Below are 14535 nucleotides of genomic sequence, written 5' to 3' on the forward strand. Positions count from 1 at the left end.
TTCATAATAATGAACACAAACCCCTGGTGTGAATTTCACTTTATTAGTAGAGTCTTTACAGTCTGAGGATCTGATATTAGTAAAGAAGTCAATTTTGAAAATGTTGGCTATCTGAAGAAGAGTGACAAATCATGAATGACCTAATTGATATTGACAAAGCTATTGAAATTGTTAAACTGACAGACCAAAATTGACAGATAGACCAAAATTGATAAATTGATAAACATATTTTTGAGCAGTGACTATATATATGCAAAGCCAAACTTCCATTTGAAATTTGCTCTCTACTAAACAGAAGCAAAGATGTAGGGGCTTGGAGTAGGCACCTAGTTAGCGATATCATTCCTTATTCCCGCCAGTAAATCACTGACAAGAATAAACTCTTCCCATCCGTTTCCTCTTTCTAACTTACTGTAACTGGGCAGTACTGTAACTGGACTGATCTCACACCCAGATCAGTCAATTTTTATAACTGACATTTTCTAATGCATTCAGCTCCATTACCAGTGCCACCAACTATTACTTCTGATTTACTTTGGAATTAATTCAAACTTTTTTCTCCAGATTTCATCATGCTAAGAAACACTTCTCATGCCTGCAACACCTAGTATCTATTTCCGTAAGTCAAATTTAAAAATATTCATAGACTTATCTTTGCCCCAATGTCAGTAGCTGTCAGGGACTCAGGAGACTCTAAAGATTCATGAATAATAGTAGTAGAAGTAGCAATCGTAATAGTAAAAGTAGTAAAAATAGCAGAAATTATATTATTTACTGGATGCTTTCTACCCAGGCACTGTGCTAAGCACTTTATTTTCAGTTACGATTTCATTTTACAGAAGAAGAAACCAAGGCTCAGAGAGGTGAAATAACCTTATACAGTCCAAGTGGTAGAGCCAGAAAATTCATTGTTTTTTAAAAGTTTAATAGAACTCACCAATGAAACCATCTGGGTGGGCTTTTTTTGAGAGGGGAAGTTTTTGACTATAATTTCAATTTCCCACTTTTAGTTGAATAGTTTGAAATTTTTTCTCTGGGCTTATTTATTTTTGAGATGGAGTCTCACATGGTTGCCCAGGCTGTAGTGCAGTGGTGTGATCTTGGCTAACTGCAACCTCCACCTACCGGGGTCGGGCGATTCTCCTGCCTCTTTTTGTATTTTTAGTAGAGGCAGAGTTTTGTCGTGTTGACCAGGCTGGTCGTGAACTCCTGACCTTAGGTGATCCACTGGCCTCTTCCTCCCAAAGTGCTGGAATTACAGGCGTGAGCCACTATGCCTGGCCATATTTATTTGCTTCTATTGAGTTCTTATATTTTCAATGCCCTTATTTCCCCTGAACTAAATAATTTAGTGGGCTTTATGTCACTTTGTTCTCTTTCCCACTGCTATCTCACATCTTTTGCTTATACTGATAGGCTTATCTTTGCCCCAATGTCAGTAGCTGTAGGGGCATATATTATCTTTATTTGGTAAGAAACTCACTGGTGAGTCCTACTAAACTTTTAAGAAACAGTGAATTTTCTGGCTCTACCACTTGGACGGTGTAAGGTTATTTCACCTCTCTGAGCCTTGGTTTCTCCTTCTGTCAAATGAAATTGTAACTGAAAATAAAGACAATATATGCCCCTATAGCTACTGCCGCTATAATATAAACGGACATGTATTATCTTTTTCTTTGTCTTGGTCCTAGCCCTTTAAAGATGACTTTCACATTGTTTGAAATGTCTATGCCCTTACTTATCTATTTTTGTCTGCTTGTTCCATCAGTTACAGAGAGAGGTGTGTTGAAGTCTCCCGCTATGATTGTGGATAATTCTATTTTTTTTAGCTGTTTCAATTTTTGCATCATAGAATTCAAACTTATGCTAGTAGGTGACCAAATTTAGAATAATTATATCTTCCTGGTGAACTGAATTTTTATCATTGTGGAAATGTTCCTTTTTATCTTTAGTAAAGCTTTTTACCTGAACACCTATTTTGTCTGACATTAGTATAGGTATAGTAGGTGTCTGAGTCAGTTTGCTCTGCTATAACAAAGGACCATAGACTGAGTGGCCTCTAAGCAACAGAAATTTACTCTTTATAGTTCTGGAGGCTGGAAGTCTGAGTTCAGGGTGCCAGCATGATTGGGTTGGAGTGAGGGCTCTCTTCCAGGTTACAGGCTACCATCTTCCCATTGTATCCTCACATGACAGAAAGAGAGCTGGAGAGCTCTCTTGGATCCCTTTATAAAGGCATGCATTCTATTCATGAGGATTCCACCTTGATGTGCTAAATTACCTACGAAAGATCCCACCTCCTAATACCATCACATTGGGGGCTAGGATTTCAACGTATGAATTTTGCATGGACAAATTCAGTCCATAACACTAGGTTTTTTTGGATTTATATTTAGCATATTTTAGCTTTTTCCATCATTTTACTTTCAGTCTTTAAAAAAATTAAGTTGTGTGTTATGAACTGAATGTATCCCTCCAAAATTCATACCCAGAAGCCCTAACACCTTCAATGTGTCTATATTTGGAGATGGGCCTCTAAGGAAGTAATTAAGCTTAAATGAGATCATAACCACTTACCTCCTAAAAGGTAAGAGCCAAAATAAATGACCATTTGATCTCAATTTCTATTTTTTTCAGAATATTCTACCCCTAAATGCAAATAAATTTACACAGAGCCCATTAATTTTATATGAAGTAGGTGTTATTCTTATTTTGATAATTACACAAAGATAAATGGGAGCTAGAAGCAATTTTCAAAACAAAATAAGCAGGAGGGAAGACAGTTCTGTTTTCCCAGCCTCTGTTCCTGGTCTCTCATTTCTGGCTCAAGGACTACCACACTCTGGAGCCCTGAGAATCAGCTTTCTGGAGTTTTGGGGTATGCTGCGTGCTCCTGACAAGCTAATTGCATGGACAAGGAAAATGGGATAAAAGTTGGGAAAATGGGGATTGGCTAAGGGAATAAATAATAGATAAAAGTGATAAAGGAGAGATAAAGGAAGGCAGTATGATGATGAGAAAGAGATCAGAAAGTAGTATTTTGTGGAAAGAAACATGTGATGACCCCACATAAAGTAGGCAGTATGCTCCATTAAAAACACCATCATATTAAATTCTGTTAAGAGGGCATTTCAGGAATATCAGGTTCTAGAATGATGAGAGGTACAAATGCTTTAACTCGTTTGCTTTATTGGTTAAATTTTATTTATTATCTTATTTAATATTTTAAATGGTATACGATGTGATATTTTGGTATATGTATACATTGTGAAATTATTGAATCGAACATATCTGTCACTTCACAGTTATTTTATGTGTGTGGTGAGAACACTTATCTACTGTCTTAGCAAGTTTCAAGTCTACAATACATCATGACTGACTGTAATCACCATGCTGTTGAATAGATATCCAGAACTTACTCATACTATCTGAATGAAACTTTGTACCCTTTGTTTTTGTTTTTTGGGGGGTTTTTTTGTTTTGTTTTGTTTTTTGAGACAGGGTCTTGCTCTGTTGCCCAGTGTTGCCCAGGCTGGAGTACAGTGGCACCGTCACAGCTCACTGAAGCCCCGACCTCCTGTGCTCAATCAATCCGCTTGCTTCAGCTTCCCGAGTAAACGGTACTACAGGCACGCATCACCATGTTGGGCTAATTTTTAATATTTTTTGTAGAGATAAGGTCTCACTGTGTTGCCCAGACTGATCTTGAACTTCTGAGTTGAAGCGATCCTCCTGCCTCAGCCTCTCAATGTGCTGGAATTACAGGCGTGAGCTACCATGCCTGGCCCTTTGACTTGGTTTGATCTTTAAGGGCATGAGTTATCAGATAAGAATCTACCTCTTCCTAGCTCTGTGGCCTTAACCTTTTTTTTTTTTTTGACAGGATCTTACTCTTACCCAGGCTGAAGTGCAGTGGCTTGATCATAGCTCACCCCAGCCTTGAACTCCTGGGCTCAGGCATCCTCACACCTCAGCCTCCAGAGTAGCTGGGACTATAGACAAGCCACTGCCATGTCCAGCTAATTTAAAAATTTTTTGTAGAGACAAAGCCTCACTATGTTGCCCAAGCTGGTCTCAAATTCCTGGACTTGGGCGATCCTCTGCCTCAGCCTTCCAAAATGCTGGAATTACAGGTGAGCCACCATGCCCAGCCCTTAACGTCTTTAAACTGTCATTTTCTCATTTGTTGAATGAATATCACAATAGTACCCACCTCATAGGGTAGTTCTGGGGATTAAATAAAATATTTAGTTAAAATCTTGGCACATTGTAAGCACTCCATAAGTGTTACCTACTTTTGGTATTATCATTGTTGTTATAACGATTATTATTATTGGCGTATAGGTTGGCAATAGAAAATTATAACCCTCATGCTTAATTCAGCCCTAATTAGAAATTATAACTGAATCTAGCAGCTGCGAGCGGCAGCAGTTTAATGAAGAACGAGTTGTCATAAAATTTAAATTATATCTATCCATAGCTAGTTTCTATTTGTAATTGAGTTTTTTCCAAGTTTGTTTGTTACAAATGGAAAAGAGCTTTGCTGTAATCATAAGAGATTTGATTTAACAGTTCTAAAGCCCGCTGACCTGATTGTGGAGGTTCTGACTTTAAATATGTAAAGCAGCCTGTGTGCTTGCCATCCTTGTTTGTTGCTTAAAAAAAATTATATTTTCTTATTATGTTGGTTAAGGAAAATTATATTTGTTAGAATATGTTTGTTGTAGAAATTAAACTTACCCATCAAGCCTTATGCTGTACACCCCAGCACTCCAACCATTAACTTGCTATCCGCAGTTTTTGATTTGCATCTGTGACTTCACTAGAATCTTAGTGGCCTTTGTCTCTACCAGTGTATTTGTAATAAACTAAATTATCCTCAGAGACTTAATTGGTAACATAAGTGCAAGACTTTGCCTCTGAAAATACAGCTTTTAGAAATAACATTATGCCTTTATAAGGTGTATTCCAAGGAAGACAAATATGTAAACATTCTTCATGTCATCAGAGTTTATAGTATTTTTCTGGAGTGGAAGGTTATTATTCCTATTTTCCCAAAAAGTACCAGGGGGTCAGTGACTTCTTCCAGGTCAATAGCTTCTGTCTGGAATTACCAAGACCATAACTTGAATCACCTATTGCAAATTCCCTTTCTAGTCCATAACATTGTTGTGCAAAATTGAAATACTTATGTGACACCAAAACAAAAACGAAAACCAAACAAACCCAAAAACCAAAATCCCAAAACCCCCCAAAAAACTAACACAAAAAACTAAACTAAAAAACCTAATAAATCCTAAGTCAGGTGGAAACACTTCAAATAGTTTCTGGATGTGAGAGCTTCTCAGAAGCTAATAAAGATTCCTGGCTCTATTGGATGGAATGCTAAGAAGCTATTTTGGTTGGATTGGGAACATTTATTAATGTCTTCATGTGAGCAGCAGTAAAAGTGTACTACCTATTAAAAGTTACCTATTTGCTTATTTTGCCCACCATTTTCAGATATGAGCTTCTGACATTTCAACAAAACTAATGACCAGCTTGTTTTGGGTAACCAGTTTCTTGCAGTTGATTATTATCCCCCAGAAATCCCTCTGTGCCAAGTCTTGTAGCCAAAACAGTTATTTAACCCAAGTACAGTCATGTGCCGAATAATGATGTTTCAGCCAACAATGACCGCATTTAAGACAGTGGTCCCATAAGATTATAACAGAACATAAACAGAAACCTGATATGTAACACTTGATATTGGCACTGCAGATTAAGCAGGGGAAATGACCGATAATTCAGTTAAGGTTCTGAGACATTTGGTTTTCCATATGAAAAATATGTATAAATTAAATATATATGTATACATATACCATCAATGTTTGTGTAAGTATACTCTGATATTTGCACAATGACAAAATGGTCTAATGTCACATTTCTCAGAACATATCTCCATCATTAAGCAACATATGCCAGGAATAATTATGAATAGGTATAATAACTGCAAAAAGTCATGTAAAATAGATGGAACTGCCAGTGCTGAACAAATGAAGAGGATAAATGAATGGTTTCTATGTAAAAGGTAAATGAATGTCAGTAAGAAATAGCACTCTCATGCTTCCATTTGCCAGAAGTATCACCTTTGGTTGGTTGTGGGTAATGTCAATTATTGAAATAATTAAGTGAATATGGAATCCAGAGACTAAAATACTGAGCGATCAATCAGTGTGTATGACAAACCCTTCTGTGTATAGAAACATAGATTCTATGGGAGGTGAAGGCATGTCTGAGGCACAGCTATGGTTTCAAAAGACTTTATAGTTTGATTTATAAAGCAATATTTGATACAGAAATACCAGAACTTTAGAGCTGGAATAAAATAGAGGAAGTTTCTGTTTTTGTTTTGTTTTTTGACATGGAGTCGTCTCACTCTGTCACCCAGGCTGGATGGAGTGCAGTGGCGTGAACTCGGCTCACTGCAACCTCTGAGTTCAAATGATTCTCCTGCCTTAGCCACACGAGTAGCTGGAATTATAGGGGTGTGCCACCATGCGGGGCTTTTATTCTTTGTATTTTTAGTAGAGATGGGGTTTCACTATGTTGGTCAGGCTGGTCTTGCACTCCTGACCTCAAGTGATCCCCCACCTAGGCCTACCAAAGTAGGGATTACAGGCATGAACTATCGCGCCTGGCCTAAAATAAAAAGAAATTGTAAAACTAGAAGAGAACTTAGAGATCACCTAGCCCGAGAAATTGTAAAACTAGAAGAGAACTTAGAGATCACCTAGCCCGAGAAATTGTAAAACTAGAAGAGAACTTAGAGATCACCTAGCCTAATACTCATGGTTAAAGAGGTAATTTAGTGAGAACTTAAAATGCAAGCTATAATTTTAGCTTATATCACAGGCCCATTCCTTCTCTTATATATTTTTTATTTTCCGCCTTCATATTGAGCATGTGCCAGTTCATTGATGTTACCACTTCTCAAGCTAAAAGTATCATCTGCATGTCACCCAGTGATGGCAATGGACCCGGTCACAGTGATTCAAGGGTCCCCAAAAAGGGTGCTGTCCTTGTCCATTGATGACTGAGGAAGGGGTGCTTCTTTTCTGCCTATTCTGACACCATATTATCTGTGGTGGTACCAAAGCTACTGGACACTCCTGATGGCAAGAGGTGTAAACCCAAATGCAGATGAATGAAGGAAGAAAAAAGACAATCAAAGCTGTGCTGTAAAGGAGACAGACAGCCCCCAACCCCCTGCCCTGAAAAGGAGAGCTATATTGTCAGCCACCCGAAAAAAGGCATGACCAGTGGACTTCAGGATCAATGTGGTCAGATGTCTTTTTTTTTTTTTAAGAGATGGAATCTTGCTGTATTGCCCCGGTTGGAGTGCAGTGGCTATTCACAGGCACTATTATAGCACACTATAGCCTTGATCTCCTGGTCTCAAGTTGCCCTCCTGCCTTAACCTCCTGGGTAGCTGGAACTACAGGCACATGCCACCACACCCGACCAGAATTTTTTTTTTTAACAGAGTCTCACCTTGTTGCCCAGGCTAGAGTGCAGCTTGTTTTAAGTGTTCTATAGCTCCATTAGTATGAAATATCTGTGTGTAAATTGATAACGACAAAGCTATTTTGATTGACAAAGTATCAGACTTTGGATAAAATCATAAATTATATAGATATCGCAATCAATTTCAAATTCATTTTGGCATCATAACTTTCTTAAGTTAGAAAGAACACCATATTTAGCATATAATCTATACATGCATTACCTGCATTGTGGGGATTTTAAGCATGTCCATACATTCTTTGACACCTCTCTGTCCAAAATGTGAAGTCTACTTCTCTAGCACCTGAGTGTGAGATAGACTTAGTGGTTCATTTCCAAGGAATAGAGTATGGAAGGGAGAAAACAATAACCACATGAAGTACATGTAGACATTTATTTCAAAAAATAAAAACAAAATGACAAAAAACAAAAAATTATGAATATAATTGAAAATTAATCTCACTTATGAATATACAGAACAAGAAAAATTATAGTTTATTTGTAAATGAAGATTCAAAATTTGAAAAATAAAATATTTTAAATCTACAAGTATATTATTAGTAATACTACTGATCATGACCAATTTGGGTTTATCCCAGAATGCAAGGGTGGTTCAAAATTATGTAATCCACCGTAATAGAGAGGAGGGGAGGGGGGAAACACTTGCCATCTTAATAGAAGTAGGAAAAGCATTTTATAAAACTCATCATCCACTCAGGACTTAAAAATATAAGCAAATAGAAACTTCCTAACCTAATATATTGGAAGTAGCTCAAAGCTGGGGTACATCACATTTAATGACTTAAAATATTCCATTTTAAAGTCAATCAAAAGACAAAGGTAACTGCTTACTAAGAAGTCTTCCCAGCTAAGACAAGAAAACAAAATAAGATGTGAAATTTATAGGCACTGTCTTCAAAACTACTGTCAAGCAGACTATGACAAAGCTCATGTTATGCAGGCATGAGAGGGAGTACGTATTGGGATAAGGGGATGTTAAATGAAGGGAAGTGCTTTCCAAAAATGTAACTACTTAATTATAATCTTGTGACAAACAGCTACAAAACCACTTTTAATAATACATTCTTTCTGTGATAGAAAATGTAATCTTTTCACTTTGTAAAAGCTGTCAGTTCTATTACTAGGGAAGAATTAGGCTTTGATTACATACAATTTCTATTTCATTTCTCCCTTTTTTCCAGCAGTGGCTAGATTCCTAGCAACAGAGTCTCTGGAAGATCTCACCCAAGGAGTAAGGCAGTTTTTTCAACATTTCTAGCATTAGGACTTGGTTGGCTCACCTGCAAGACAGTGTGAGATTCTATTCATGATAGATTCCCTAACACCAAATCTAAAGTTGAGAGATATTTTTAAATTTCTATAAGATAGTCAATAAAGATCTGCTGGTGTGTTTAACTCTGGTCTGGGAACCTGCTAAACTTTCACTTACCATATTTGCCAGAAGAGTATCTTCAAACTTTATCACCTACATACCTCTAAATAAAATTTAAGAATGTACACTTTCATGTATTTTTAAGTTGATAACTAACATTTATCATCATAAATTTAAGTAAGTGCAAATAAGATAATTTCAAGTGGCATACTGTAAATATTTACATTTTCAAAAATAAAAACTTTTGTCATTCTTTTAAATGTATCTAATAGAATCTAAGTACCATAGCAATTTGATTCCCACCATTATCAACATAATACATAAACAAGCTCTTCAATAGTGAGACATTAAACATCATTCACTGGATCTTTGTTTATATTTTGCTTTCCTCACAGAATTATAGTATATTTTACTGCTTAAAATATTTATCTCCTAAGGTACTTCTCTGAAACGAATATAAATTGAAATTTAAAAAATTTCCTATAACTAAAAGGCTATAAGTATTAAAAATAACTTTTTTCTAAATTATTACAGTAACTATTAGAATGCAGTAGATAATATCACAAACATGAATATTTTTACACACAAGTATTACACATAAAACATTAAAAATCTTACTGGAAATTCATCTGAGAATCAAGACCAATTTGTAGTGTTTTTTTTAGTTCATCTTTCCGTGGGTATATATGATTTATAACTAGCATGACATAGCAGTCAACATAAATTACATTCCCATTTTTCCTATCTATAGATGAGATCATTTTTAATGTAAAACAAATAGATGAGAATGTAGTTTTGTTCCGTTTTTGTTTTAACTTTTAATTTTCATGGGTACATGGGTGTATATATTTATGGGGTACATGAGATTTTTGATACAGGCAAGCAGTGTGTAATAATCATATCATGTAAAATGGGGTAGCCATCCCCACAAGCATTTATCCTTTGTGTTACAAACAATACAATTATATTCCTCTAGTTATTCTAACTTGTAAATTAAATTATTATTGACTATAGTCACCTTGTTGTGCTATCAAATACTAGGTATTATTCATTCTATTTTTTTGTACCTATTAACCATCCCCACCTCCAACCCCCACCCCACCCCCTGTGTCATTACCCTTCTCAGTCTCTGGTAACCATCCTTCTACTCCCTATGTCCATGAGTTCAATTGTTTTGATTTTTAGATCCCACAAATAAGTGAGAACATGCAATGTTTGCCTTCCTATGCCTGGCTTAAGTCACTTAGCGTAATAACGTCCAGTTCCATCCATGTTGTTGCAAATGACAGAATCTCATTCTTTTTTATGGCTGAATAGCACTCCACTATGTAGTACATTTTCTTTATCCAGAGAATGGAGATTTGTAATAATTCAATTCTTTGTCACTCAGTGCCACTGCATCCATCAATTTTTTTAGTAATACGTCAAAAATGAAATAAATTTTAATGATTTAATGGCTGACAGCCTGCCTAGGCTTTTGTTTAATTTTATTGAAAGCAAATAACTGAAAACCAGTGAGTTGCAAAAAAGGGTTAGCCATTATTGGAGTCTCTTTCTCAACACATTTTCAAATGACCTGTATAGACTGGAAGGGTTTTTTGTTTGTTTGTTTTGCTTTTCCCACCTTGACAATGGTGAAACTGAGAAAGATGGGTGAAAATTATGCCTTTCTTTTAAAAAAGGACATATGTGAAAGGGGCAGGTGGGAAAAGAGAACCAGTCTGAGACAGGTATATAAATGGGAAGATCAAATTTTGGAAAGAGTATCGAGGAAGTGGAGGAAATGAAAATGGATTAAAATTCTCCTTGCACAAGTACCTCTTGAAATGTCTTGGTGTGCACTATTGTGCTAACCTCTCTTTTAGATATAAGGGTACATACTGCATCTAGGATTTAAGAATAAATGTGTATCAATTAGTATTTCTGCTAATTAATTAAGGTGCATTCACTTGTGTATATTGGATGAAGTTAAACTGATGAACTTATCTGGAGAGTGGAGGGGTGTACAGTGAAGTGAAAGGCAATCGTTACTTAGTCAGGAAGCCCTTTTAAAGGGTGTCCTAGTCTTAATAAAGACAATGGTGACGATTTGGCCAAAGAAAAACTTTAGCCCACGGATTGACTTGTTTATGTTTTCTTACCCTGCAATAAATTGAGTATTATAATGTCTCTTAAGGTGAGTCTCTTTTGTGAATTAAAATAGTCATAAAGTCAGCCAAAGTATCGAAGGTTAAAAAAAAAAAAAAGTTAAATTCAAACTAAAGTATACAGTGAAAGTTTCTGAACCAAGCCAGATGGTATCCTGGTTTGAAGAGATCAGATAGAAAGGGCATGTGCGATCCACAGCTGACTTAACCAGTGCTTTCACATCCCAGCCTCTGTGTAGCTAAGCTTGAGTTGGTGACTGCATATAAAAGCTTGTGAAAGTAAAATAAATCTAGGGACCCCAAAATCACTAAGCTAATGGGAAGAGTCAAGCTGGGAGCTGCTTAGGGCAAACCTGCCTCCCCTTCTATTCAAAGTCATCCGTCTGAGGCTCACCTGAAACAAACGCATATCTGATTGCTTCCTCTCTCCTATTGTTTCTGTGAAAATGCAGATCCACTGAACCAGACTAAATTGTGTATTCAGTGGAAGGCTGATCTACGACTTAAAAGAATGCAACCTTTTGCGTCTTACCTACTTCTAACGGGGCCACTTCGAGTTGTCCTGCCTTACCGGACTGAACTAATGTACATCTTACACATAGCTGTCTCATGTCTCCCTAAAATGTATAAAAGCAAACTGTACCCCCAAACACCTTGGGCACGTGTCTCAGGACTTCCTGAAGCTATGCCATGGGCACATCCTTAACTTTGGCAAAATAAACTTCCTAAATTGACTGAGACCTGTCTCACATATTTTGTGTTCACAAGCTCTACATGGATTTAAGGCACAGATGGTAAAGGTTTTCCAAAAGTGCTCAAGCAGGGATACCAAAACATTGTATGTGCATATATGACTGCTATAAAGGTTATACATTATCCACAAAAAGCAAAGAGAAAGAATGGAATTGACATTCTAAGACTTATCTAGGTAACTGCTTCTCTCTAGTGGAGCTTTTGTCATTAAACAAATTGTGGGGACTTCTCTTATTTTGGCTAGAATATACTTTTGTCAGGCCAGTGACTCTACTCAAAAATGAGATACACTTACAGATACAGAAACATAGATGAGGATATCCGCTTAAACAAGAGAGCCACCAAGGTAGTAAGAAATTGAAGGGTCAAGACCGTGTCCAAAAGGGAAGTGCAAAGGTGAGAATGACATTTAGCACCTGTTTTCCCCTTGAGGCAACTGCCAATTCATAAGCAGTAGCCTAAGGCTAAGAAGCTAAATAGTGGGAAATAATGAGCAGAAAACAGAGGACCAGAGGTTGAAAAGGTGAGCAGAATTTTAGGCTGTCTTACATGTCTGGGAATACAAAAACAAGTTCAGGATCAATCAAGGTGAAAGAACCTTGAATGAGCAGAAAACAGAGGACCAGAGGTTGAAAAGGTGAGCAGAATTTTAGGCTGTCTTACATGTCTGGGAATACAAAAACAAGTTCAGGATCAATCAAGGTGAAAGAACCTTGAATGAAAAGTAAATATACCAACCCTCAAAAGGACTAAAGCTCAGCTGTTTCATCAGCTAATTGCCACACTGATCTGCTCTTATCCAAACTGTTTGCTAGAAGCAAAAAGAAAACTGTCTGTGAAAAAAAGATAGTATCAAGAGTTAATGTCATCAACTCAATAATTTTTCATTCACATGTCAGGCATTCAGACAAAAATTATTGACCATGCTAAAAGATAAGACCAAATGACTGAAAATAGAAAAGTGGAAACTGTATTAAGAATTATCAAGCATGGGCTTCCAAATTACTTGTAAGTAACTGTAATTAATATGCTCTAGAAAATATACAAGATGATGAATTTCAGCAGAGGGTCCAAATCAGTAAAAATAATTAAATGGAACTTGTAGAAATTAAAAATAATAGAACTGAAATTAAGAACGCAGTAAATGAGTTAAATGACAGCTTAGACATAGCTGAAGACAAGTTCAGTGAATTACAAAATAGGTCAATAAAAATCCAGAATGAGCATGAAGAGAAAAAACGAATAAAACAACAAAACAGAAAAGAATCTAACACACGTATGGCTAATGGTGAAAAGCCCTGAGTAGGCGAGGAAAGAGACAATTGGGGCAAAAGTGATAGAAGAAGAGATTATGCCTGAGAATTTTCCAAAAATAATGAAAGACACCAAATCACAGATTCACCTAGAGACATCATAGTAAAACTGTTTAAAACCCAAAACAAAGGGAAAATAAAAGCAGCTGGGGGTAGAGTGGGGTAGGGTACACATTTTCTTAAAAGGAATAAGATTCACAGATGACTTTGCAACAGAAACAGTAGAACTCCAAAAGAAAAGTAATACTGCCAAGATGATGAAAGAATTACCAGATGCAAAATGGAATGAAGAAATATACAAAGGGGTAAATGTGAAGAAAAATATAAATGAATATATAGATTCATAAAACAATAATAATGTCCTGTGGTGTTTAAACAACAGTATAAAAAATCATAGTACTGGAGCGGGCATCATGATTCATGCCTGTAATCCCAGAACTTTCGGAGGCCAAGGCAGGATGATCACTTGAGGTCAGGAGTTCGAGACCAGCCTGGCCAACATCGCGAAACCCTGTCTCTACTAAAAATACAAAATTTAGCCAGGCATGGTAGCACACGCCTGTAATCCCAGCTACTTGGGAGGCTGAGGCAAGAGAATCACTTGAACCTAGGAAGTGGAGGTTGCAGTGAGCCAAGTTCACCCCACTGCACTCCAGCCTAGGTGACAGAGTGAGACTTGATCACAAAATATGATAATAATAATAATAATAGTACTGAAGTTATTCTAAGGTCCCTGAATTTTTTGTTTTTGAGACAGGGTCTCCCACTGTCACCCAGGCTGGAGTGCAGTGGCATGATCTCATCTTACTGCAGCCTTGACCTCCCAGACTCAAGCAATCCTCCCATCTCAGCCTCCCAAGTAGCTGGGACTACAGGTGCACACCACCATGCCTGGCTAATTTTTGCATTTTCTTTTGTAGAGATGGGGTTTCGCCACATTGCCCGACCTGGTCTTGAACTCTTGTGCTCAAGTGATCCTCCTGCCTTGGTCTCCCAAAGTGCTGGGATGAAGGGTGTGTACTTTGAATTTTCCAGGAAGTGACAAAAAGAATTTATATGAGATGTTGATAAGTCAGGTATTAATGTTGGAATCTCTAGGATAACCTTAAATAATATATTCTATGATGTGAAAGAAAAGAAACTAATAGGAGGGGAAAATAGAAATAAAAAAGAGAAATGGAATACAAAACAGATGGAAAAATTAGAAAACGAATTATAAACTATCTTAGTAATTACATTATATAAATGAATTAAATGTTACAATTAAGAAGAAAAATTATCACACTGGATAGAAATGATTGTACATCTTAAAGGCATACTTTAGAAAATTGTGGTCTTCAATGGAACAGAACAGAGACCTCAGAAATAACACCACACATCTATA

The 14535-nt window shown here is 36.7% G+C and overlaps 1 long non-coding RNA gene across 1 annotated transcript, besides 1 other annotated feature; it reads right to left on the reverse strand.

The window, feature by feature from the left end:
* Window positions 1–7925: 7925 nt before the first annotated feature.
* Window positions 7926–13632, reverse strand: LOC124905004 (uncharacterized). Its single transcript, XR_007067833.1, has 2 exons — window positions 12551–13632; window positions 7926–12436 (listed from the first exon to the last, which is right to left on the reverse strand). It is a non-coding gene; the product is annotated as an uncharacterized LOC124905004 (long non-coding RNA).
* Window positions 11245–11785: an enhancer, noted in NCBI's record as "OCT4-NANOG-H3K27ac hESC enhancer chr21:30294636-30295176 (GRCh37/hg19 assembly coordinates)". NCBI's record gives its function as "activates a minimal SCP1, AML or CMV promoter by ChIP-STARR-seq in primed H9 embryonic stem cells {active_cell/tissue: H9 hESC(primed)}" and the evidence as "EXISTENCE:reporter gene assay evidence [ECO:0000049][PMID:30033119]".
* Window positions 13633–14535: the final 903 nt, after the last annotated feature.

The sequence above is a fragment of the Homo sapiens genome, chromosome 21, assembly GCF_000001405.40.
Source record: "Homo sapiens chromosome 21, GRCh38.p14 Primary Assembly".
Lineage (NCBI taxonomy): Eukaryota > Metazoa > Chordata > Mammalia > Primates > Hominidae > Homo > Homo sapiens.